The 26,066-nt window shown below is 44.0% G+C and overlaps 1 protein-coding gene and 1 long non-coding RNA gene across 5 annotated transcripts in view, besides 3 other annotated features; both read right to left on the bottom strand.

The window, feature by feature from the left end:
• EIF2AK3-AS1 (EIF2AK3 antisense RNA 1) overlaps positions 1–4,420 on the bottom strand; it is a 36,891-nt gene extending 32,471 nt beyond the window's left edge. Inside the window, exons 1-2 of the long non-coding RNA NR_110236.1 lie at positions 3,886–4,420; positions 2,961–3,075 (exon numbers count right to left, since the gene is read on the bottom strand). This is a non-coding gene — a long non-coding RNA (EIF2AK3 antisense RNA 1). The remainder of the gene's footprint in view (positions 1–2,960; positions 3,076–3,885) is intronic.
• Positions 4,000–5,199: an enhancer, noted in NCBI's record as "MED14-independent group 3 enhancer chr2:88837459-88838658 (GRCh37/hg19 assembly coordinates)". NCBI's record gives its function as "activates an origin of replication core promoter dependent on BRD2, BRD4, P300/CBP and CDK7 cofactors, and independent of MED14, by STARR-seq in HCT116 cells {active_cell/tissue: HCT116}" and the evidence as "EXISTENCE:reporter gene assay evidence [ECO:0000049][PMID:35650434]".
• On the bottom strand, positions 13,555–18,491 carry SPMIP9 (sperm microtubule inner protein 9). Of its 4 annotated transcripts, XM_011532691.2 has the most exons (5): positions 18,358–18,491; positions 17,641–17,730; positions 17,469–17,505; positions 16,643–16,735; positions 13,555–14,088 (listed from the first exon to the last, which is right to left on the bottom strand). In XM_011532691.2, the coding sequence occupies exons 3-5, from the start codon at positions 17,493–17,495 to the stop codon at positions 13,666–13,668; spliced, it is 543 nt and encodes a 180-aa protein (XP_011530993.1). In that variant the 5' UTR covers positions 17,496–17,505; positions 17,641–17,730; positions 18,358–18,491; the 3' UTR covers positions 13,555–13,665. The 4 variants fall into 4 exon arrangements, with proteins under 4 accessions (XP_011530993.1, XP_011530994.1, NP_689883.1 ...); XM_011532692.3 differs by lacking the exon at positions 17,641–17,730 and having other exon boundaries at positions 18,334–18,491; NM_152670.3 differs by lacking the exon at positions 17,641–17,730.
• Positions 24,653–25,153: an enhancer, noted in NCBI's record as "OCT4-NANOG-H3K27ac hESC enhancer chr2:88817505-88818005 (GRCh37/hg19 assembly coordinates)". NCBI's record gives its function as "activates a minimal SCP1, AML or CMV promoter by ChIP-STARR-seq in naive and primed H9 embryonic stem cells {active_cell/tissue: H9 hESC(naive and primed)}" and the evidence as "EXISTENCE:reporter gene assay evidence [ECO:0000049][PMID:30033119]".
• Positions 25,154–25,654: an enhancer, noted in NCBI's record as "OCT4-NANOG-H3K27ac hESC enhancer chr2:88817004-88817504 (GRCh37/hg19 assembly coordinates)". NCBI's record gives its function as "activates a minimal SCP1, AML or CMV promoter by ChIP-STARR-seq in primed H9 embryonic stem cells {active_cell/tissue: H9 hESC(primed)}" and the evidence as "EXISTENCE:reporter gene assay evidence [ECO:0000049][PMID:30033119]".

The following is a 26,066-nucleotide window of genomic DNA, read 5'->3' as shown; positions in this document are numbered from 1 at the left end:
TACTCGGGAGGCTGAGACAGGAGAATTGCTTGAACCCAGGAGGCAGAGGTTGCAGCAAGCCGAGATCACACCACTGCACTCCAACCTGGGGAAAAGAGCGAGACTCTGTCTCAAAAAAATAAAAAATAAAAATAAACAATAAAACTGAAACCAGGTTATGTCACCCTTTGTTCATTACTTTGCAGTGGCTCCCGTCTCACTCGAAAGAAGAGTCGCAGCCTTTGTAAGGGCTTACCTGCACCTAGACAGTCCTGAGAAACCTTGTAACCACCCTGACACTGCCTCCCAGGCACCTCCCCAGGGTCTGCCCTTCCTGTTCCTTCAGTCCCAGTCCTCCCCGTGCGAAGGGCTCCCCTTCTCCAAGGTGTTGGTCAAATGCCACCTGCTCTGAGGAACCTGGTGTCATAACTCTGACATCCTCCTACCTGCTTTGTCTTTCTCCACTCCACTTACAACCTTCCAACATGCCACATTTCCCTCATTTTATTTATTGTTATTTTCCCCAATTAGAATGGAATCTCCTTGTCTTATTATTATTTTCATTTTTGCTATATTCCCGGTACTTAGAATTGTGCCTGGTACGCAGGTGTTAAATATGTATGTGCTAAATGAGAGAAAAATGATTGAATTAAAAATCATTTTTCTCCAGCATTGTGGGTCTGTTTCTTCATAGTATAAAGAACTCAGATGTGTTATTTATGTTGCAAATATTTTCCTACTTTGTTCTTTGCCTTTTATTTATTTATTTTTTTTCTTGGCAGGGTCTCACTCTGTCACTCAGGCTGGAGTACTGTGGCATGATCTCGGCTCACTGCAGCCTCCACCTCCTGGGTTCAAGTGATTCTCCCACCTCAGTCTCCCAAGTAGCTAGGACTGCAGGAGCACACCACCATGCCTGGCTAATTTTTGTACTTTTGGTAGAGATGGGGTTTCACCAGGTTGCCCAGGCTGGTATTGACCTCCTGGACTCAAGGGATCTGTCGGCATCAGCCTCCCAAAGTGTTAGGATTACAAGCATGAGCACTGCACTCGGCCTGCCTTTTTATTTTATGGGTTTTTTTTCCACGCAGGAAGTTTGATTATTATGTACGCAATGTATAATTTAATTTTTTAATTTGTAGTTTCCAGATTTTATGTCATACTGAGAGAAACTTTATTTTTATGTGTGTTTGTGTCTGTGTGTTTTATATATAAATATTTGTTGTAGTAAAATACACACATAAAATTTACCATTTTAACTATTTTTAAGTGTAGAGATCTATGACATTAAGTACATTCACACTGTAGTGCAATCATCATCACCATCCATCTCCAGAACTTTTTAACCTCCCAAACTGAAACTCTGTACCACTGAATAATAACTCCCCATTTCTTCCTTCCCCAACCCCTCACAACCACCATTCTTCCTCCTGTCTCTATGAGTCTGACTACTCTAGGCATCCTATACAAATGGAATATATATTCTTTAATGTTTGGAAATTAATGGACATGTTCTGGAATGTTGCAAAGCCAAAACATTCTTTTTAATTTTTTAAAAGTAGATACAGGGTCTTGCTTTGTTGCCCAGGCTGCTCTTGAACTCCTGGGCTCAAGAGATTGTCACACATCAGCCTCCCAAAGTGCTGGGATTACAGGCATGAGCCACCACTCCAGGCCCCAAAACATTCTTGAGATACACTATGGTTTGGATATGGTTTATCTGCACCAAATCTCATGTTGAAATTTGATCCCCAGTGTGGCAGTATGAAGAGGTGGGGCCTACTGGGAAGTGTTTGGGTCATGGGGGCAGGTCCCTCATGAATGGCTTGGTGCTGTTCTTGAGGAAGTGAGTGAGCCCTTGCTCTCAAGGGACTGGGAATGAATTCGTTCCCAGAAGAGTAGGTTGTTATAAAGCCAAGACACTCTTCATGTTTTCTTTCTTCGTTTGAGTCCACTTACCCTTTGACTTTCTCTGCCATATTATAACACAGCATAAAAGCCCTCTTCAGAAGCCAGAGCCATGTCCTTGAACTTCCCAGCCTGCAGAACCATGAACTAAATATACCTCTTTCTTATATAAATTACCCAGTCTCATGTGTTCTTTTATAGCAACACAAAATGGACTAGTAAAAGATATTTCTTTTCTTTTCTTTTTTTTTTTTTTTTGAGATGCAGTTTTGCTCTTGCTGCCCATGCTAGAATGCAATGGCTTGATCTTGGTTCACTGCAACCTCTGCCTCCTGAGTTCAAGCAATTCTCCTGCCTCAGCCTCCCAAGTAGCTGAGATTACAGGTGTCCACCACCACGCCCAACTAATTTTTTGTATTTTTAGTAGAGACGGGGTTTCACCATGTTGGCCAGTCTGGTCTCGAACTCCTGACCTCAGGTGATCCACTCACCTCAGCCTCCCAAAGTGCTAAGATTACAGGTGTGAGCCACCACACCCCAGCCGTAAAAGATATTTCAATCTATGCATGCTCTGATCCACCTTACCCTAGCTCCCTAGTTATAGTTTATGTCCAGCAAAGACTTGTCACTCTCTGTCCAAGACTTCCAGGGGCTGTGCATTCTCTTCTGCTATTTCTCAATGTGTGATTCACATGGCACCAGTGACTCAGCCGCCAGTGAACCATATAAAACAATAGATTACTGGAGTTCACACCAGTTCTAATGACTCTCCATCCAGACCTGGCAGAACTGAGGAATCAGCATTTGACCCAGGCACTCCACTGCCATCCCCTGCTAGGAACTCTCAGAGTCAAAGATCAACTGTGAGTGACCACTTGATCTGGAAGAGGGCACACTGCCATGGAAGCCTGGGGCCTAAACCCTCACCCCTTGGTTGCTGGTGCTTTCTGTGAAATGAGTGTAAGAATTCCTGTGTCACAGAGAAGAAATGAAGTTGGAAGATGATACCCTCTGTGGCCATGTTTTGTAAGCTCTGAAATATATATATAACATAAAAAAGCTGTTAGCATTACCTTCAAGCCCCCAGTCTGGTCTCTGCAGCCTCTGCCACGGGGTCCCTCCCAAGGCCAAAAAAAGACAAAAGCATCCATAGAGTTGACATCATGGTGGTGGGGCGCAGCACAGAATCTACAAGTAAGGGTGGGAAAATAAGTGTTAATTAATTCTCTTTTATATTGATAATTGAAAGAAACACTCTATTAACCCTTTAAAAATGTTAAGTGCATTCATGTACTTTCTTTTTTGTATCTTGTAAGATGGGTATAATTATCCTCCCTTCTACACATGAGAAAACGAAAGGTCAAAATGAGATTTTTATGGGAGGAGAAAGCCAAACCCAGCTCAGCCAATCGCAGCTCAGCTACCACCCGTGTGACATTTGGCCAAGTCACCTGAGGCCTTGGTTTTCTCTGCTACAACATAGGCCCGATGGCTGTATTCACTCAATGGTGAAGGCAGGTATTGAGTAAGATAAGGTATGTGCTCAGCCCAATATGGGGGTTGGCACATTGCATGACACTGTGAGTCTAGTTCCAGGATACCTGCTCCCGATTCTCTGCTCTCAGCCTAATATTGAGGAACTTCAGGGGACCCTAAAAAATACAAGAGGAATGAAGGCAGATGGGGATGGCTGCTGGAATCCGGCCATGCTCTGCCCAGCAATAAACTAGGTGAAGAGTGAAGAGTTTTATTCTGAGACTATTAAGATGTCTGTTGACCAAAGCAGGCTCCCCCTGGATCTATTCACTAAACACAGCTATTGGACCAGGGCAGAGCTGGGACTAGGAAGACACAGGGGATGATCGAGACACCACCCAAACCCAATTTGGAATTCCTATTGTCCTGCTTTTCCCCAAAGGCAACTTCAGTTGGAGAGAGTAGAATTCAGTGGGCAAAGTTGTGAGCCATCCTCAGGAATGTCTGTCTGGGTCACTTTACCTGATATTGCCAGGTACTGATAGCTTCCTTGCTCCCTGCCTGGAGCCTGAAGCTGCTGGGGGCAGTTACAGAAGACAACTGGAGCCCTTCTGTCTCTTTCCTGTGCGGGCCCTTGGAAAACCGCTGCTCTCTCTCACCCTCATTCCTTCCTTCAATATTTGTTGAGCACCTGCTATATGCCAGGTTTCAAGGGCAAGAAAGAAAGTAAAACACTCCAAAAGATTTTCAAAAAAGAAATTATTCTAAAGATAATACATATTAAAATTAAATATGGCTGGGCGTTGTGGCTAACCCTGTAATCCAGCACTTTGGGAGGCCGAGGTGGGCAAATCACTTGAGGTCAGGAGTTTCAGACCAGCCTGGCCAACAGGGCAGAATCCCGTCTCTACTAAAAATAGAAAAATTAACCGGGCGTGGTGGCACATGTCTCTGTTAGAAACAAGTGCTCGGTGCCGAAAAGAAGAACCAGCACTCAGGCAAAAAGTTTTCTCAGTAAGGCAACTACTTCTACAGAAGGGTGCTGCCTGCATCAGCCATGATCACAAGAGTACCCCAACAAAGGAGAGAAGGGGTTTTTATCCCTAACGCAGTTGTTGTTTCTGTGTCCTTTCCCCATTGGCTGGAGTTGGACCTCACAATCTAAGCTGACCTGATTGGCTAAGACTTAAAATTCTCCAAATAGAGTAAACGCGCAATTTGCTAAAAGAGGAGTGGGGAGGAGAGACCGTCTGTTACTAACTAGGCAGGAGGGAAGGCATGCCTAGGCATGCCTGGATATGTATGGGTACAGCAAGGGGGTTGGTTACAGAACAGAAGGAAGTTTGAACCTCTTTCTAAATAAGGTAGCGAGACGAGGACTTTGAAGGCCAAAGTGGAGAAAGGGGAAAGCAGGGAGAAGGGCTAGCTTATAACCTTACAACTTATAAACAGGGAGGTAAGTTTTGAAGAGGAACTTAGTTGTGCTAACACCTGTAATCCTAGCTACTCTGGAGGCTGAGGCATGAGAATCGCTTGGACCTGGGAGGTGGAGGTTGCAGTGAGCTGAGATCACGCCTGGTGATGGAGCAAGACTCTGTCTCAAAAAAAAATTTTTTTAATAAAATAAAATATAGCTCACAATGATTGAGCAGTCACTGTTTGCCAGGGCAGGCACTGGGTGTTCACTCTTGGACTCCTCACAGCCCCCCGCTGAAAGATGTAGGAACAAAGGGACTTAAGAACACAGAGAGCGAGCAAACTGTTAGGGACAGGGGGTTGTCAAGGCAGGATTCTTCAGAGGAGGCTGTGTAAGCTGTCAGCTGGGGGAAACTGGGGGAAACCAGGAGAAAAAGTTGTTTACAAAAAGTAACAGCAAGTGGAAGGCAGGAGGTGGGAGAGGGGTGAATATGCGTGTAGGGCAGGTTGAGATGGGGTTGGAGGGAGGGGTTGCTGCCTCCTAGGAAGGGCCTTACGCTGTGGGACCCCCCACGTGGTGGTTATACAGGGAGATCATGAATATGTAATCAGACCTGTGTTTTATGATTCCTCTAGAGTTAAAATGGGGAGGACTGCAAGGGCCGTTCCCGGGTGCCATAGAGGAGGCCTGCTGCAGTGGGGTCTGAATGGAGGGTCAAATTCGAAGGAGATTTCTGAGGCAAAATCTTAGGATTTTAGTAGCTATTTCTCAGAGCTGTTTCCTCAGCCTCCTGTGGGAAGGTGCAGCAAGCGCCTCAAAAGCAGCGTGTTGGGGTCTCAACTCATCCTTCTCTCCTGTGCCTGATCCCTTCCTGGGCTCCCCTACCGCTGTCCTCTCCTGCTCCAGCAGATCCAGGTCATGGCTCACCTTCTTGCTCTGTCCACCTAGGGGAGAGACAGTGATGGTCTCTCCAGAAACAGACATTTCCAAGGTTTCTGAACATCTCAGATTAAGAACTAGCGAAGGATATCTCCGAATCCAGCTGATCTTCTTGGTCCAGGTAGTTGTTCACACTGATGGCTATTAATCAATGAAACTTGGACATTAGGGAGCAAGACAACCGTTTTTATTAAAGTTTTAGAATAGGCCGGGCACAATGTCTCACGCCTGTAATCCCATCACTTTGGGAGGCCGAGGTGGGTGGATCATCTGAGGTCAGGAGTTCAAGACCAGCCTGGCCAACATGGCGAAACCCTGTCTCTACTAAAAATACAAAAAATTAGCATGCACCTGTAATCCCAGCTACTTGGGAGGCTGAGGCAAGAGAATCGCTTGAGCATGGAAGGCAGAGGTTGCAGTGAGCCGAGATCGTGCCATTGCATTCCAGCCTGGGTGACAGAGGAAAACTCTGTTTCAAAAAATAAATAAATAAAAATAAAAAAATAAAGTTTTAGAATAAAACTTTTATTTAGAATAAAGTGACATGCAAGTTTTCAAAAATGACTAAAACTTTAGGGTTGGAATCAAATCTGGGATTTAAATTCTGGCTTTGTTACATGTGGACTTGAGCCAGGTACTTAACCTCCCTCAACCTCTGTTTCTTCATCTGAATATGAAGACGAAATATGTGTGGTGTGTGCAGCAAATATGTATTGTTACTAATGTTTTCACCTCAGCTAAAGCATTTTGTAGAAATTCCATGTGTTAAAACCATCAGCTGATCCACATGACCTGTCACTGAAAAAAAAATTATTTATTAAAAAGCATTGAGATGTAGTAAGCTTTCTTTTGTAGATACTTTCTTTTATAGACATCTTAGAAGGCATGTTATGGATAAAACAGATTCACTAAAGATTGTAACAAGATAGGAAGAAAGGAATGTACTGACCAGGAAGCATTTTACAAGTGATGAAGAGATAAAGGGTCTTTGAAAAGTTATTCCACCTCACCAGGGATCAAAGAGACTGTACTCTTATCAAACTAATAGGCAGTCTTCTTCCTTTCTTTTCTTTCTCTTTCATTCTTTCTTTCTTGATAATAACAGGGATAAGGACACTGTGAATTAACTACTCTCATAAATGGCTAGTAGTATTCTAAAGAGATACATCTTTCATTTTTTCTTTCCTTTTCTTTTCTGCCTCCCTTCTTCCCTCCTTCCTTTTCCTCCCTTCCCTTCCCCTCCGCCTGCCTTCCTTCCTTCCTTCCTTCCATTTTAATGTTTTATTGTGGATAATTTCAAAAATACCCAAAAGCAGAGAGTAGGATCATGAACTTGCAAGCACCTGTCACCCAACAATTTTTATTTTGTCACTGATATTGTTTGACCTATTTCCTACCCCCATCAACGCTTTTTGCTAGAGCTTTTTTAAAATAAATTTCAGACATCAATTCTTCAGTTAATATTTCAAGAGAAAATGATCTCTAATAAATAAATGCTTAAACATAACCAAAATTCCCTCATCACACCTAACAAAATTAGTAACCATTTCTTAATATTAAAAATACATCTGATTAGAAAGTAGTAATTGGTAATATGCTTCAAGAATGTGTTCATGCATTTCGACCCAGTAACTTTGCTTCTCCTTTTCTTTTTTTACTTTTCTTTTGTTTTTTTTTTTTTTTTTTGAGACGGAGTCTCTCTCTGTCGCCCAGGCTGGAATGCAATGGTGCGATCTCGGCTCACTGCAACCTCCACCTCCTGAGTTCAAGCGATTTTCCCTGCCTCAGCCCCCGAGTAGGCAGGATTACAGGCGCCCACCATCAGGCCTGGCTAATTTTTGTATTTTTAGTAAGACAGGGTTTCGCCATGTTGGCCAGCCTGGTCTTGAACTCCTGACCTCAGATGATCCACCCGCCTGTGCCTCCCAAAGTGCTGGGATTACAGGCACGAGCCACTGCACCTGGCCTGCTACTCCTTTTCAACCTAATTACAGAAAAAAGGTTTATATTTTAAAAAACATCCTGTTATTTGTAACAGAAAATGCATAATGGAAAAAATCTTGAATAGCTAACAATAATAAATTATGTTATGTTCATGCAGTGATGTTTATAGTTTTAAAATTCACGCAATGATGCAAAGTTTTAAGGTTGAGTGGGAATGTTGATAGTTAATGCAATTAAAATCAAGCAGGATTTAAAATTACAGTATTCAATATGATCCAGCAATCCTACCACTGGGTATTTCTTCAAAGGAAAGGAAACCAGTATATTAGAGAGGCATCTGCAGTCCCATACTTATTGCAGCACCATTCACAACAGCCAAAATATCAATCAACTTAAGCGTCCATCAACAGACAAATGGTTAAAGAAATGTGGTACATATTCGAATGGAAAACTCTTCAGCCACAAAAAGGAATAAAATCCTGACATGGATGAACCTGGAGGACATTATGGTAAGCAAAAGAAGCCAGGCACAGAAAGACAAAAATTACATGTTCTCACTCATATATGAAGTCTTTTTATTTTTTTTTTTGAGATGGAGTCTTGCTCTGTCGCCCAGGCTGAAGTGCAATGGCGCAATCTCGGCTCACCGCAACCTCTGTCTCCCGGGTTCAAGCGATTCTCCTGCCTCAGCCTCCTGAGTAGCTGGGATTACAGGCATGTGCCACCATGCCTGGCCAATTTTTTTGTATTTTTAGTAGAGACGGGTTTCTCCATGTTGGTCAGGCTGGTCTTGAGCTCCCAACCTCAGGTGATCTACCCGCCTTGGCCTCCCAAAGTGCTGGGATTACAGGCGTGAGCCACTGCACCTGGCCATATAAGAAGTCTTTTAAAAAGTTAATCTCGGCCGGGCGCGGTGGCTCACGCCTGTAATCCCAGCACTTTGGGAGGCCGAGGCGGGCGGATCACGAGGTCAGATCGAGACCATCCCGGCTAAAACGGTGAAACCCCGTCTCTACTAAAAATACAAAAAATTAGCCGGGCGTAGTGGCGGGCGCCTGTAGTCCCAGCTACTTGGGAGACTGAGGCAGGAGAATGGCGTGAACCCGGGAGGCGGAGCTTGCAGTGAGCCGAGATCCCGCCACTGCACTCCAGCCTGGGCGACAGAGCGAGACTCTGTCTCAAAAAAAAAAAAAAAAAAAAAAGTTAATCTCACAGAAATAGGAAGTAGAATAGTGGTTATTAGAGGCTGGGAAGGGTAGGAGGGGAAGCAAAATAGGGAGAGGCTGGTTAAAGGATACAAAATTATAGCTAGAAAAAAGTTTTACTGTTCTACAGCACAATAGAGTGACTAGAGCCAACAACAATTTATCATATACTTTCAAATAGCTAGAAGAGAGGATTTTGAATGTTCCCAAGATAAAGAAATGATAAATGTTTGAGGTGATGAATATACTGGTTACTCTGTATATTAGTCAGGGTTATCTAGAGGGACAGAACTGATAGGATATATATACAATAGGATATCCTATTGTATATAGGATATCCATATATATATATATAATATAATATATATATATGGGAGCTTATTATTAACTCACACAATCACAAGGTCCCACAACAGGCCACCTGAGGAGCGAGGAAGCCAGTCCAAGTCCCAAAACTGAAGAACTTGGAGTCCATGTTCGAGGGCAGGAAGCATCCAGCACGGGAGAAGGATGTAGGCTGGGAAGCTAGGCCAGTCTAGTCTTTCCACATTTTTCTACCTGCTTTATATTCTAGCCAAGCTGGCAGCTGATTAGATGGTGTCCACCCAGATTAAGGGTGGGTCTGCCTTTTCCAGCCCACTGATTCAAATGTTAGTCTCCTTTTGGCAACACCCTCACAGACACACCCAGGATCAATACTTTGCATCCTTCAATCCAATCAAGTTGACACTCAGTATTACTGTCATCACACCCTGATTAGACCACTACACATTGCACGTATCAAAACATCACCATGTACTCTACAAATATGTACAATTATTATGTGGTAATTTTTTAAATAATAATTTTTTAAAAAGAAAGAAATCAACCAGGGGGATGATACAAGAAATAGAAAGTAGGCATGAAAAAATACCTTAATAAAATGTATTATTGCCTAAAAACAGAAAAACAAAAATAATTACAGAATTCAGTGTGAACTTTGTAAATGTGTGTATAAAAGGTCTCACTATCTCAGGCACTGTTCAGTGTTCACTCATAAGATAGGAGCATTATTAATGCCTCTTACAGATGAGAGAATTGAGGTTCAGAGAGATTTTCTAGAACATCTCTCAGCTAGTAAATAGTAAATTAAGGCATGGGTGAAGCCTCAGTTTTGCCTGACTCCAAAATCAAGATTTTGGCCGGGTGTGCTGGCTCACACCCGTAATCCCAACATTTTGGGAGGCCAAGGCAGGTGGATCACCTGAGGTCAGGAGTTTGAGACCAGCCTGGCTAACATGGCAAAACCCCATCTCTATTAAAAATACAAAAATTAGCTGGGCTTGGTGGCATGCACCTGTAATCCCAGCTACTTCGGAGACTGAGGCAGGAGAATCACTTGAACCCGGGAGGTGGAGGTTGCAGTGAGCTGAGATGGCGCCATCACACTCCAGCCTGGACAATAAGAGTGAAATCCTGTCTCAAAAAAACAAAACAAAACAAAACAAAAAATCAAGATCGTCACCTTTATCCTGCCACCCTGGCATCAAAATATTAACAGTAGTTATCACTGAGTAGTGGGATTTTATAGGTGGTCTCCTTTTCTTCTTTCAAACTTTTCTTCACTTTGCAGTATTTTCTACTGAAGGCATTATTAATTTTATATTAGAAAAAATATTATCACATTACATATCTAAAATTTCATAATTACAACTAAAGAGGAACATATTTGGAACATTTACTAGATAAAAGGGCTAACATGTCAATGTACAAAGAGCTCCCATAAATTGATGAGAAGAGCCAGGCACGGTGGCTCACGCTTGTAATCCCAGCACTTTGGCAGGCCGAGGAGGGTGGATCACCTGAGGTCAGGAGTTCGAGACCAGCCTGACCAACATGGAGAAACCCTGTCTCTATTAAAAATACAAAATTAGCCAGGCATGGTGGTGCATGCCTGTAATTCCAGCTACTAGAGAGAGTGAGGCAGGAGAATCGCTTGAACCTGGGAGGCAGAAGTTGCGGTAAGCCAAAATTGCGCCATTGCACTCCAGCCTGGGCAACAAGAGTGAAACTCCATCTCAAAAAAAAAAAAAAAAATTGATGAGAAGAAATAAAACTCGAGAGAAAAACATGGGACTAGGAAACCCAAGGACGAATAATATAGAAAAAATTTCACGCCTGGCTAGTAGACAGGTAATTGCAAATTAAAACCATGATAAGGGCTGGGCACCGTGGCTCATGCCTGTAATCCCAGCACTTTGGGAGGCTGAGGCGGGTGGATCACGAGGTCAAGAGGTTGAGACCATCCTGGCCAACATGGTGAAACCCTGTCTCAACAAAAATACAAAAATTAGCTGGGTATGGTGGCACGCACCTGTAGTCCCAGCTACTCAGGAGGCTGAGGCAGGACAATCACTTGAACCCAGGAGGCAGAGGGTGCAGTAAACCGAGATCATGCCACTGCACTCCAGCTTGATGACAGAGTGAGACTCCATCTCAAAAAAAAAAAAAAAAGATAAGATACCATTTTTCACCCATCAAATTGGCAAAAATTAAAGATTGATAATATCCATGTGCTGGTGAGGAGACAGGAAAAGAGACACTATCACACACTGCGGTGGGATGGGGACTTTTGACTCGACTCTTCTGAACAAATTCTCTTAGTCTCTATTAACACTAAACATCCATACCGTTTTACCAGCAATTCTACTTGTAAGATTCTGTCTTACAGAAATAAAAACATCAATAGGTAAGGATATATGTTCATGAATAGTTATCGCAGCACTATGCGTACAGGAAAAAATGGAAAAGCATGGCTATCCACTAGTAATAAAATTGTAATACATCAATATCCATCAATTCAATGGAATATTAGGTAGTCATTAAAAATAATTAAATCCATAAGTCGGGGGAAAATCAGCCTGCAGAGTATTGTGTCCAGCCTGGCTACTCCAGTGTGCCCTATAGTCCTGCAGCATTGGCATCAAGCATGTTCTCACTCATCTGTGGAGTCTTTTAAAAAGTTGATGTTATAGAAGTAGGAAATAAAATAGTGGGAGCTTGTTGGAAATGCAGAATGTACACCCCAGAACTACAGAACCAAAACTTGCATTTTAATAAGATTCCCTAGGGGAAACACTGGTGTACAGTATGATCCCAAAGCAAAAGATTTCTCATGTATTGGGCAAAGCTGGATAGTCACAACCAAAATCTATCCTCTCCTAAACTAATAAACCCCTCATTTTTAGCTGGGTACATGGCCATCCAGAATAAACATTATACTTCCCGGCCTTCCTCAAGGTTTGGTATGGCGGTATAACTAAGCTCTGACCAAGGGGACAAGACAGTAAGTGAAGAATATAATTTCTGCATTTTGCTCGTAAAAGAAAAGTACCTGTATCCCCAGGTTATTCTTCTTTCTAACTGAAAAATGTCAACAACTGAATCAGCCACTGTATCACTCAGCTTGGGCTGCCATAACAAAATACCACAGACTGGGCAACTAAAACAACAGAAATTTATTTTCTCACAGTTCTGGAGGCTGGAAAGTCCAAGTTCAAGGTCCAGCAGGGTTTGGTCTCTGGTGGGGGCTCTCTTCCTGGCTTGGACACAGCTGCCTTCAGAGTGTCCTCCCATGACCATTCCTCAGTGCATGCACATGGATGGAGAAATCTCTTTCTCTTCCTCTTCTAATAAGGATGCCTATTAGAAGAGGTGTGGAATAAGGCTCTACTCTTATGACCTCAATTAACCTTAATTACCTCCTAAAAGCTTTATCTCCAAATACAATCATATCGGGGGTTAGAGTTTCAACATATGCATTTGTGGGATACATAATTCAGCCCATAGCATCCACCTTGGACCCAGAGATAGAAGCCACAACAAACATGTTCTACCCTCCTAACTGTCTACCTCTGAACTATTAGACAATAGAGAAATAAACTAGCATGTTGGTCAAGCTACTGTGTTTTGGTTCTCTGTTATAGCAGACTCACTGACTCACACGTATGTATGTTTACATGCATTCCACTGAGCAAGAAGAAAAGTATGAAACAATGCCCTTTAAACTGTTGCTGTTGATTGCTACAAGGTAGGAGTGGTGGATGAACTGAAATAAGAATATCGAGGGGAAAAGTTATCCAACAGCACCTCAGGTTTTGCGATCACACCCAATAGCTAGATGACTGCGGGAAACACACTTTTCCCCACTTTTTAAATAAATGCTTAAAACAGTAAAAATCTTTACAACAGGACTTTCGTTTTCCCCCAAGACCGAGTCTCTCACTGTTGCCCAGGCTGGAGTGCAGTGGCGCGATCTCAGCTCACTGCAACCTCTGCCTTCTGGGTTCGAGCGATTCTCGTGCCTTAGCCTCCCCAGTAGCTGGGACTACTGGGTGTAAGCCACCATGCCTGGCTAATTTTTGTATTTTTAGTAGAGACGGGGTTTCACCATGTTGGCCAGACTGGTCTTGAACTCCTGACCTCAGGTGATCCACCTGCCTTGGCTTCCCAAAGTGCTGGGATAATACGCATAAGCCACCGCACCTGGCCAGGTTTCTTAATTATAATGAAACATGACACAAATTTCAGTTCTAAATACACACTAATTTCCCCTCCCTCTCTCTCTTCCTCCCTCTGCAATGGGCATGCTGTAGCCCAGGGCAGCCCGGGGAGGGAGGTAGAATGAACATGATCCCAGGGTCCCAGTGCAGTTGGAACATCTTTCCAGTTTTATTTTCAGTTCTCCTCTCTGCACTCCAAGGTCATAGGATTTCCACATGCCCTTGGAAGAGCCTTTGGAAGGTATTTTCATCCTTCCTACTGGTAAAATGGCATCAAGGGTCCCCACCGGTTCAAGATGGGGACCTTGACTATATGGCAATGAAGACAGGGACACCCTGGCAGTAGCAGGTAGCCTTTGGCCATCTCTGCAGCAGGCTGGTGTTTGGGATCCACGAGGCACGGAAAGTCAGCACTCTGGAGGACCTGGTTGGGGTCACCCTGGGCCAGGTGCAGATCGTGGGAAGCTGGATATGTGAAATGGCAGGTGCTGGTGAACTTGCGCTCGTCCTCCCTCGTGGCCTCATGTTCCTGTGATGGGAAGAAGCCGGGGAGTCCCAGGTCTTTGGCAGTCATGTGGGGTCTTTTGAAAGCAGGGTACCCATCTGTTAGCTTGGGGTTGGGGTTAGGGATGGGCCTGTAAAACTCTTTGTCCCGGAGTTGAGCATCGAGCTTTGCCTGCTGTGGAAACAAATCACACATGAATGGAGGGGTGAGAGAGACAAGAGATGATGTAGCTTTTCTTGGAAGCATCCAAGACAGAGCACACCCTTCTTTATTTTTTCAAAACTTTAAATTAGTCCTTGAATGGTAACATATACAACAGAGGGAATGCTGAAATTACACAAAAGGGTTTATAGTGAAACGTAAGTCTCTTTCCCACTCTCCTCCTCCCTTGGTTCCCATCTCCAGAGACAACCACTGCTATCAGTGCTTTTTGTATCTCTCTAGAAATATTTGATGTGCATATAAACATGTATGTGTATATCTTCTTCCCTTGGTTTGTACAGAAATGATGAATATTATATTCCATCCCACACTTTGCTTCCATTAAATAACATCTCAGAAACTGATCCATCTTTGTTTGTTTAGATCTTTTTTTAGTGGGGAAACCTCAGGACGGGAGAAGATTTTTAAGCAATCTTGAAAAGAGAAAATGATAAAGGAAAAAACTGATAAATCTAACTATATTAACAATTAGAATTCACATTCCCTGAAATATTTAGTGCAAAGACAAACCACAAACTGGAGAAGAGTTTATCCACATATATAACTGACAAATGAAAAATGCTTAGGGCCAGGTGTGGTGGCTTACGCCTGTAATCCCAGCACTTTGGGAGGCTGAGGTGAGTGGATCACTTGAGGACAGGAGTCCAAGACCAGCCTGGCCAACATGGTAAAACCTCATCTCTACTAAAAATACAAAAATTAGCTGGGTGTCGTGGTGCATGCCTGTAATCCCAGCTACTCGGGAGGCTGAGGCAGGAGAATCGCTTGAACCCAGGAGGCGGAGGTTGCAGTGAGCCAAGATCAAACCACTGCACTGCAGCCTGGGCAACAGAGCCAGACTCCTTCTCAAAAAAAAAAAAAAAAAGGGAAAATGCTTAGAATATTTTTTAGAACGTCTACAAATTAATAAGAAAAAGACAAGAAACCCAGTAGAAAAATGAGCAAAAGACATAAACAGACATTTTATAAAATAGCAAATCTCCATCGACAAATGAAAATGTGTCCAACCTCATTGTTAGTGAAATGAAAATTATGACCACAGGAAAATATGATTTTGCACCCACCAAACTGGCAAAAATTAAAATGTCTGCCAATACCAAGCAATGGCAAGATTGCAGAGCAGCAGAAGTAACTGTCTCCTGCTGGCCATAATGTAAATTGGTGCAACTGCTTTGGAAAACAGTGATTTTACCTAATACTCCATGACAAACAATTCCACTCCTGGAATGGATAAACTCTTGAACATTAGGATGTGACTTATCTCATCTTCAATGCAGCATTTGGGAGTGGGAAGAGTAGGAATAAAGCACCCAAATGTCCACCAATAAGAAGAGACAGATACAGAAACGACAAATACGGTACACTGTGGCATATTCATGCAATGTAATACTATGCAGCAGAAAATGAATAATATGCCATAATGTTTAGCAAAAAGTGACAATTGTGGAAGGGTACAAATCCAATATGTAATAAAGTTCAAAAAGGCAAAACCAAAGAATATATACATATAAGGTAAAATGAGTTTTTAGAAAAACACATAAGGGAATGATTTTTTTGGGGGGGATAGAGTCTCGCCCCACCTCCCAGGTTCAAGCAATTCTCATGTCTCAGCCTTCCACGCAGCTGAAAATACAAGCGTGCACCAACAAGCCAGGCTAATTTTTGTATTTTTTATAGAGACGGGATTTCGCCATGTCAGCCAGGCTGGTCTCGAACTGCTGGCCTCAAACTCCTGGTCTCAAACCCCTGGTCTCAACTCCTGGCCGCCTCTGCCTCCCAAAATGCTGGGATTCCAGGTGTGAGCCACTGTGCCTGGCCTACAAGGGAATGATTAACCACTTCTGGAGATGGGAGGAGGGGTAAGTTTGCGGGTTACCAAGAGGCTACAAGGTACTGCTAATGTTAATGTGCCATGTTTTAAGCGGTCTGTAATGGTTACATCGGTGTTTATCAGTGTAATTTTAACTCTAAATGTGTATTATTTACAATTTTTTGTATGCATGACGTATTTGATGTACATTTGAAAACATACACACATGGCCGGCCACGGTGGCTCACGCCTGTAATTCTAGCACTTTGGGAGGCCGAGGCAGGTGGATCACGAGGTCAGGAGTTCAAGATCAGCCTGGCCAGGATGGTGAAATCCCATCTCTACTAAAAATACAAAAATTAGCTGACGCAGTGGCAGGCACCTGTAATCCCAGCTACTCAGGAAGTTGAGGCAGGAGAATCGCTTGAATCCAGGCAGGCGGCAGAGGTTGTAGTGAGCCGAGATCGCGCCACTGCACTCCAGCCTGGGTGACAGAGTAAGACTCCTTCTCAAAAAGAAAAAAAAAATACACACACATACATGCACATGCACAGAAAAGATCTCTAAGTCATATCTCCTGGCATTGGATATTGTTCTAACAAGGGCCCAAATGTCCACATTTGTAATACAAATGAAGCAACAGAGAGGATTTCAGTAGGCAGTTGATTGAATGACAGGACTTGCGTGCCTTCCTACCTCTTGCGGCGTGACCCTGGAGTATTTGTGCTTCCTGTAGGGCTGATAGTCGACCATGTGGGAGCTTTGGTATATGTCTAAATCCACAGGGTCCTAAAGCACAAGGAGAATATAAAACAAGAGATTCCCTCGTCACTCCTCCACTTAAAGCCATTCAATGGCTTCTTGCTGTTTGTAGGACAAAGGCCGACTTTGGGGCCTGACATTCAGAGCCCAAATGATCTGGCTGTGACCCATTTTTACCATCCCGCCACCTTCCTGCCTTCTCTACTCCAGCCTTACTTCCTCCCACTTGCATGGGCCTGGCATGTGCTCTTTCCTATCTCCTGATGGAAATGCAAGTTGCCCTCCTCACAGACTAGCAAACTCCTACCTATCCTCCAAGACCCAGACTAAATGTCACTTCCCCAAAACATCTCTCCCACCCTTTTATTCTCCACCTCCCAAGAGTTAAACCCTTTCCTTGTTCCTTACAACCCTCCACAACAGCACTTGCAGGGTGTACTGTGATGGATTTAATGAAGTACACTAGAGCAGGTTTAGTGTACTTAGACATCTCTGCAGTCCCAAAGCCCAGGACAGGGCCTGGCACACTGTGGGTGCCTAATAAGTGCATGCTGAGTAAATAACTGAACCCCCAGAAAATTATAAAGAAGAAAACTCAGTTCTCTTCTTCTTCTTGTACCAAAAAAAAAAAAAACCCACAAAACCCAAAACTATCATTACAGAAAGATGAGCTTCTAGAAAGAGCCTGGCCCTTCCAGGGCCTTGCTGAGGCTACCCAACCCTGAGACCGTCACAGGGGACAGAAACCCACATCACTCACCTGTCCCGGGTATTTCACACCTGCCATGGCAAACGACCTAGACACAGACAAGTTGTTTAGCCCTGCTCTGCCACAGACAAGGAAAGTAGCCACTATCTTCAAGCTGTGCCAACCAAGCATGGCTGCCCCAGCTTTCTTAGCCCACTCCTCCCCATCTTCCCTGGGCTCCTACCCTGCATGTCACTCCATCATCAAGGGGTTGGTGGTGATACCAGGGTCCCTGGGACAAAGGGGCTGGAGCAGGACTCAGGAGGAATGAGGGCTGTTTAGAAGATCACATTTACTGATCAGGTTTACTGTTTGAGAGGTATAGCTGATCCTAGGGCAAGTGAAGTGCTGGTAAATGTTTAACAACCATGTTTTCAGGGAAAATAGGCCCTGGGTTTATAGCATCTGCCAATTTCTGTGGTGTAAATGCTCCTATCATGGCTCATTTCAGGCTATCAACATAATGTCATTGGCACTGAGTTGCACAGATATGCACAGGATGGGCTCTTGTGAGCCAGTATGAACTGGCTCCAGCTCACATGTTCCTCTGAACCAGGCCTCAGCACTTCCCCTGGATAGAGGAAGGCCCAGGCCTAGGACTCAGAGCCACCTTGATTCACAGGGGAGTATCCAAGGTGAAGAAAGTTGCAAGACTCTGCATTCCCAGTTGAACAACAGTAGTTTGTAGGCCTAACACTGACCCCTCCCTTCCAGCCCTGAAGTCCTAGCGAGGGCCTCGCTGCACAGACTCCTTGTGTGCGTGGCCCCTAGATCCTTAAGGGGTACTCCACTGCATTCCCAGGGAACCCTCCCCTAAGCCCCACTCTCTTCAGCAGACTGTGGCCCAGCAGGGTGGTGCCCAGACCTCAACCAACACCTGTATCCCCTCCCTTTTGCTCACAGACAGCTTCTCTCCTAGGGCTGGGGACCAGCTGCCACGCAGACAGAGCCTACCGCTTCTTCTGCCAGGGCAAGACGACGCTCCTGCCCTCCCACCTCCAGGTGCCCTTGCCACATGGAGAGTCCTGTTGCTGTGTCCCACTGCCACGCCTGTCTTTGAGTTGAGCCCTGACCTGTATGATGAGGGTCCCTGTCATTGTGAGGTGAGTAGGTGGCTGCTTGGGCTGCCTGCAGGTCAGTTCCCTGTCCCTGGCTCACCAGAGCCAACATGAATCCTGGCAGCACATGAACCAATGCTTTCCGATACTCTACAGAATCTTCCTAGTCCTAGGAGAGGAAGGTAAATAGAGCCCATGTGGTTTACAACATCAGACTGTGTGTGACTAAATCCACTTCACACCACAGACTGCCACCCAGGCCTCTGCTGCCTGAAAGCCTGGCTCAAAATTGTCAAAATGTCACTTTTTGACATTCATAGTGTGTGGCTACAATAAAAAAAAAATACAGAAACAAGCGTTGATGAGGATGTGGAGAAATTCCACTTCTAGTTATAAATAAAAAAGAATTGAAAGCAAGGGCTCAAATGGATACCTGTACACCAACGTTCACAACAGCATGGTTCACAATAGTCAAAAGGTAGAAACAACTTACATGTCCTTCAGAGATGAATGGATTTGGTATCTACGTACAATGGAATATTATTCAGCCTTAAAAGGGAGGCCAGGCACGGTGGCTCACGCTGGTAATCCCAGCAACTTGGGAGGCCGAGGCAGGCAGTTTGCCTGAGGTCAGAAGTTCCAGACCAGCCTGACTAACATGGTGAAACCCCGTCTCTACTAAAAATACAAAAATTAGCCGGGTGTGGTGGTGCACGCCTGTAGTCCCAGCTACTCGGGAGGCTGAGGCAGAAGAATTGCTTCAACTCGGGAGGCAGAGGTTGCAGTGAGCCGAGATCACACCACTGCACTCCAGCCTGTGTAACAGAGCGACACTCTGTCTCAAAACAAAATTAAAAAAAAAAAAAAAAAGGGAAGGCAATTCTGACACGTGCTACAGCATGGATAAACCTTGAGGACATTATGCTAAGCAAAATAAAGCAAAATAAGCCGGTCACAAAAAGAAAAATGCTGCATGATTCCACTTCTGCGAGGTACCTAGAGAAGTACAATTCATAGAGACAGAAAGTAGAATGATAGTTGCCAGAGACTGAGGAGAGGAATGGGGAGTTACTGTTTAATGGATATGAAGTTTCTGTTTCAGAATATTAAAAAAAGTTCTGGGAATGGATGGTGGTGATGGTTGCCCATTGTGAATGTACTTAATGCCACTGAATTATTCACTTAAAAGTGACTAAAATGATAAACTTTGTTATATATATGAAATTGTATATATATTTGTATTTTATATATTTTATGTAATTATATACAAATATGTATATTTAATTTTATATATAATATTAAACATATATGTTACATATATTATATATATAATTTTAATAATCCACCTTCTTTAAGGGACACCTCCTCTATAAAGCTTTCCTTTATCTCACTAGGTGCCACCATAGACTCATTTATCCAACCAATATTTACTGAGCACTTCTTTTGTGTTTGGGCATTGTTCTGAACTTTATAGATTCAAGAACAAAAATAGATGGAAATCTCTGCTTACATTCTGGTGAGATGAAAACACAGAGCAAACACAATAATAAGCAGGTCACCCTCCCTTAGATAGAGCAAATAAGCCAGGCGATGCACAAGAGGATGACTAGTGGGCACTTCAGATGGGAGGTCCAAGGAGGTCTCTCTGAGAGGGTGATGTTATAGTAGAGATCTGAAGCATGGGAAAGAACCAGCCATGCAAAGATCTGAGAATAAGGGGTTCTAGACACAGCAATCAGCTAGTGCAAAGCCTAAAGGCAGGAACCACTGAGAACAAGAATCACCAGCCATGTGCCTAGAAAGGAGTGAATGATGGGCAAGGTCAAGAGATTGAGTTGGCTGGGAATCTCTGGCATTCCTCTTCTTTAATGGAATGCCAACTTCCCCTCAGATAATTATTTCCTGCCTTTCTTTGAGTGTGTCCACAGAATTAATGTGTTAGAAATTTGGTCCCCAGCATGGCAGTGTTGGGAGGTGAGGCCTTTAAGATTTGATGAGGTGGTTAAGAGGGATTAATGCCACTCTCTTGGGACTGCGCTAATTCTCACCATAGTGAGTGAGTTATCACTCTCTCAGGACTGGATTAGTTAACCCAAGAGCCAGTTGTTGTAAAGTGAGGCCGCCCCTCATGTTTCGCCACTTTTGCGTGTACTCGCTTGCCCTCCCACTTTTGTACCACGTTATGATACAGTATGAAAAGGCCTTGCCAGAAGCTGCTGTCATGCCCTTGAACTTCCTAACCTCCAAAACTGTGAGCCAAATAAACTTCTGGGTTTTGTTGTTGTTGTTGTTTATTGAGATGGAGTCTTGCTCTGTTGCCCAGGCTGAAGTGTGCAGTGACGTGATCTTAGTTCACTGCAACCTCCACCTCTTGGGTTCAAGCAATCCTCCCACCTCAGCCTCCTGAGTAACTAGGAGTATTGGCATGCACCACCATGCCGAAGTAACTTTTTTTGTATTTTTAGTAGAGATAAGGTTTCACCACATTGGCCAGGCTGGTCTGGAACTCCTGAACTCAAGTCATCTGCCCGCCTCGGCCTCCCAAAGTGCTAGGATTACAGGCGTGAGCCACCAGGCCCAGCCTTAAACTTTTTTTTTTTTTTTTTTTTTTTTTTTTTTTTACAAATTATCTAGTCTGTGGTATTCTGTTACAGCAACAAAAAATGAACTAAGACACTCCCCTTTGGGGATCACATGGCATGGGTGGTGCTGATCCTACTCCAACTCTAAATGGGCATGTTGCCACCAGAACATTCCACTCTCTAGGCCACAGTGATTGATTCAGGGGGAGGCTCATGATCCAAGCTGGACTGATGAGTGCCATCCCTAGCTCTTGGGAAGGAAGAGCTGAAACAGCAGGCACTAAGAACCATGTGAGCCTGAGGCTGCCTGAAGCCACTGTGTAGAGAAAGCCAGGCCAATAATAAAATCAGCACAAAGACAAGACTATCCCAGAGATAGAAACAGCAACAGCATTTTGACTAACACTGAGCCCCTGGATATAACCATGCCTGAAGCAAGCTTGATCTACATCTACACTTCGCAGTTTATGTGAGCCAGTACATTCCTTTTCTTGCTAAAGCCAATTTCAGTTGAGTTTCTGTAACTGCCAGCTGAAACAATACCTACAAATTCAAGGTTGGAGTGCTCACATAGTTATTTCTCCTAACTAACTGTGGGATTCTTGAGGGAAAGAGCTGGATCTTACTTTTTATTCCTCAGTGCACCAACACTTAAGCATGGGGATTTAAGAAGTGCTTGTGAATTAAATAAAACTGAAAGAGATGGCAAAGGCTAAGGCAAAGAACAGAGTGGCCACAGGGATAAGAGTGGAGGAGACAGCTGGGGCATAAGTGATTTTTGTGCCCCAAGTATGTATTTTTCAGAAAAATATTACCAAGTACATTTTTGGAGTCCTGAATTCAAATTCTGATACTTGCTATCCTCATGTCTTTGGGTAAATCATCTAAGATTAATAAAAGGCAGTTTGATCATCTGTAAAACAGAGGTAACACCTACCTGAAAAGAGTGTAGGAAGTCAACAGATATGTCTGTGAAAGTGCTTGGTGTTCTTCAAACCAATATTTGCCCCCATATTTTTTGAGTTCCTGCTGTATCTCAGGCATTGTGCAAGGGCCTGGAATTATGGTAACGAAATAAAATAGAAATGGTCTCTGTCCTTACGAAGTTACAGTACGATGGGAGATAAATATGCAAATAATCACACAAGTGAGTCTTTCATTACAATTTTGACAAGTGCCATGAAAAAATGTGGAGTATCGGAGGTTGATCCAGTCTTGGAATCTGGTCAGAGAAAACTTGCCTCAAGTAATGACATTTTAACTCAGTTCTAAAGGGGAAGGAGACTTCTGTTCACTGCCCTAGGGCAGGAAATAGACTTCCCACGTGTAGGAGAGAGCCTGCTCTGCTGCAGCAGAGCCAGGAGGGACAAGGGCAGCTCCAGATGAGGCTGGAGAGGAGATACTACCTCATCACGCACGTATGGGAAGAACTTTGACTTTATCCATTGTAGGCCACTGGATGATGATGATGATGGCTGGGACAGTTGGATGAGATGGCAGTAGATATGGAGAGAAGTGAGTAGGTTCAAGGGACGTTAGGAAAGTAGACCGCATAGGATTTAATCATTATCAGAAAGAGGCAGTGGCAAGACAGAGTAGGGTCAAAAAGATTCCCAGATTTCTCAAATAAGCCATTGGAGCTTGATGGTCCTTTGATGAGGTGGGAAAGGCAGGAGGAGGCATTGGTTTGGGAAGTGCTATGGTTTGAATATTGTCCCCTCCAAAACTCATGTTGAAATTTAATCTATGTGGCAGCATTGAGAGGTGGGGACTTTACAAGGTGACTGGGTCATGAGGGCTCTTCATGAATTAATGAATTAATGGGTTAATGGATTAATGGGTTATCATGGGAGGGCAACTGGTGTCTTTATAAGAAGAAAAGAGACCTGAGCTAGCACGTCAGCATGCTCAGCCCCTCACCAGGTGATGCTCTGCTCTGCTCTGGGACTCTGAAGGGTCCCCACCAGCAAGAAAGCCGTCACCAGATATGGCCCCTTGACCTTGTACTTCACAGCCTTTATAACCATGAGAAATAAATTACTTTTCTTTATTAAGCACCCAGTTTCAAGTATTCTGTTATAAGCAACAGAAAATGGACTAATACCAGGAATAAATCTATGAGTGCAGTTGGGGTCCTATTCTAGTTGTGGAGCCTGTGTGGTTTCCAAGAAGAGGCGAGTAAACACATGGGCAGAAGGATTTATAGTTCAGAGAAGAAAGTTCTGAACATGTTATACACTCTGGAATTGCTGATGATATAGGTGGTACTTGAAGCTAACAGGGAGGATGGACAATATCCCTAATTTAGGTACTACAGCCTCCCAAGTAGCCCTGCAGAGCAACCCTGCCCTGACACTAAAAGGCATTCTGTGCCTCCCAAATGGAGTGTTCAAGGGCAGCAGGAGGGAAATCAGGCCAGAAGGATGATAAGGTCACTGGCACTTGTGCTCAGGCCTTGCTGGTCCATGTACTCGAGCCTCTTTTTGGCCCCTTTGTGTGCCACCTTCACTGCAGTCAGGTTTCTTTTTTTTTTTTTTTTTTGAGACAGTCTCACTCTGTCACCCAGGCTGGAGTGCACTGGCGCGATCTGAGCTCACTGCAACCTCTGCCTCCCAGGTTCAAGCGATTCTCCTGCCTCAGCCTCCTGAGTAGCTGGGATTACAGGCATGTGCCACCACGCCCGGCTAATTTTTGTATTTTTAGTAGAGACGGGGTTTCACCATGTTGGTCAGGCTGTTCTCGAACTCCTGACCTCATGATCTGCCCACCTCAGCCTCCCAAAGTGCTGGGGTTACAGGCGTGAGACACTGCGCCCAGCATGTTTCTGCAGAATCTCTTAGCTTTGGTGCCAATGCAGCAACGTTAGTGCAACAAGCTGCAGGAGTGGCTAGGCCCTCAGCTCAGCCACCCGCTGGTTATGGCAGTGTGGACAAGTCACTTCACTCCCAGGAGCTCAGTGCCCTCTTCATTGAGATTGAAATCCTCAATGCCTGCACAGGCTTCCTCCACCCCAGACTACCACATAGTTAACTGAACTTGAGTGAGCTTGCCTGAAACACTGCAAAACATCATGGAAACACTGCAAAACATCATGTTGTACCAATTTTTAAGTTTTTACAATGCAATACATGTGATTTTTCTGAAGTTCAAATGGGTAAATGTTTTCATGGTTCTCATTGTCTCCTTCAGCAGCAGGCAAGGGAGGATCTTTCCTACATATGTAAGAGACAAAAAATAACCCAGAAAACAAATCCTGCTTTTGTTTTTTTAAAGTTTCAATCACATAGAAATTTTGCATTCAAATTGTGTAAGATAAACCAAATTATATTATTTAAAAAACACTCATATAGAAATATGAGTGTACTTCTAGAAGCACAGTTATGTTAAAATAAATGTTATTTTAAAGGATGCAAAAAAGGTGTGTGGACAAGATCCAATAAACAGGTTATACAAAGCAGAGGCACACCAAACGCCCTCAACAAGCATCATTCCTCCTCCTCCCTTGCTACCTCCAATGAGGATATTCACCTCTAAATCTATATATCTATACTGAGAAAATAGCCCAATACATATACAACAGGGTTGGATGTGAAAACTAAAGAAGAAAAGTATCAATTACTTAGCACCTAGTCTGGTATGCTGTAGGACTTTAATTATTGTAACCTTCATTCATTCGATGGAAATAGGAACAAGAACACCCCAAAAGTCATCTGAGAGTGACTCCCACATCTCCCACCATAACCTGGAGAGAGCTGGGCCCCAAATTTCTGCCTATGCAAATTCAGTATGTTAATATTGTTAAATCACAGGAGGAAATTCTTCTCCCCAATCAGAAGCCCTCAAGTTCCTCCAGGCTTATATTAAAGGGATTACAATCCATTTCCTTCCTAATACGGCTAATGCGCTATGGGAAGCCCTCGGGCCAGGGATTAAAGCATTTATGCCTTTAATTAGGAGCAACCCTTCCCTTAGAGCCTGAAACACAAACAGCAAGTCGACACTACAAAGGCCTCCTCCCCAGCTCAGTGGGGATATTGCTCCCTCTCCAGGATCCTGGAGCCTCCAAGAGCTTAGCAAACACTGCTTTCCCAAAAGAGATGTCTTAGCCAGGAGGACCCTCATCAGAAATAGAAACCCCTTCACCTGAAGAACAAAACAAACAAAAAACAGATCTTGAGTTAATTCAGGATCAGCCCCTGCCGCACAGCAGGGAAGGCAAGAGGAATCCATTCCATTAAAGGGCCCTGAGGAATCAGCACATCTCCAGGAGGGATCAGGACGCTGACTGTCCCACTGCCACAAACACACTGGGTCATTAGGTTTCAAGTGGATGGCTCTGAAAATTAAAAAGTGATGGTGCTTCGGAGAGGTCTGTCCCCAACTGGATGCCTTTGGGAGCCCCACACACAGGGTCTGTCATCCTTTTCCATTCTAGATTCATAGAAACTAGCTGGGTCACCTAGCATAGGATTTCTCCAAGGGCAGCCCAATGACCCTCTTCTTCAAAGTCCCCTGGGATACATGTTAAAATCCAGATTTCTGCTGCCACACTTGTGTCAGAATCTCTGGGAAATGAAGCCAACCCTGGACTTTTAACAAGCTTTACTGGAGATTCTGTGATTCTTATGCATGGGTAGGAGGACCATGGCTGGGCCACCCCTACTATTTATAGAGCGGGGAGCTGGGGCCCAAAATCTTTCAGGGATGGACAGAAGCAGACAGCCAATCAAGGCCTGGTCTGGGATGCTTTCGGGGCGGTGGATGTGCACAGTACCTGAGAAATGATACCAAAAGAACCTGTGAAATTGTTAAACTGAGATAAGAACTCAGGACCTTTTGCTTCATTTGTTCAACACACAAGTATTGACTGTCTTAGGTGAGCGAGGCATGGTGCTAGATGCTGTGTGTATGTGAGTGTGTGTGTGTGTGTGTGTGTGTGTGTGGTCATAGGAAGGAAGGTGTTGGTGGAT

Source organism: Homo sapiens, chromosome 2 (assembly GCF_000001405.40).
Source record: "Homo sapiens chromosome 2, GRCh38.p14 Primary Assembly".
Classification (NCBI taxonomy): Eukaryota; Metazoa; Chordata; class Mammalia; order Primates; family Hominidae; genus Homo; species Homo sapiens.
The sequence above is the reverse complement of the archived record's forward strand: the minus strand, read 5'-3'. Positions and strand labels throughout refer to the sequence as shown.

What these genes read in the sequence shown, in the direction of transcription:
- SPMIP9 (XM_011532692.3), bottom strand. Translation starts at nt 17,495, where the DNA reads ATGGCAGGTGTGAAATACCCGGGACAG. An exon ending in GTGTGAAATACCCGGGACAG is followed by an intron (nt 16,736 to 17,468) that starts GTGAGTGATGTG and finishes CTTGTGCTTTAG; the next exon opens with GACCCTGTGGATTTAGACAT. An exon ending in CCAGGGTCACGCCGCAAGAG is followed by an intron (nt 14,089 to 16,642) that starts GTAGGAAGGCAC and finishes TTGTTTCCACAG; the next exon opens with CAGGCAAAGCTCGATGCTCA.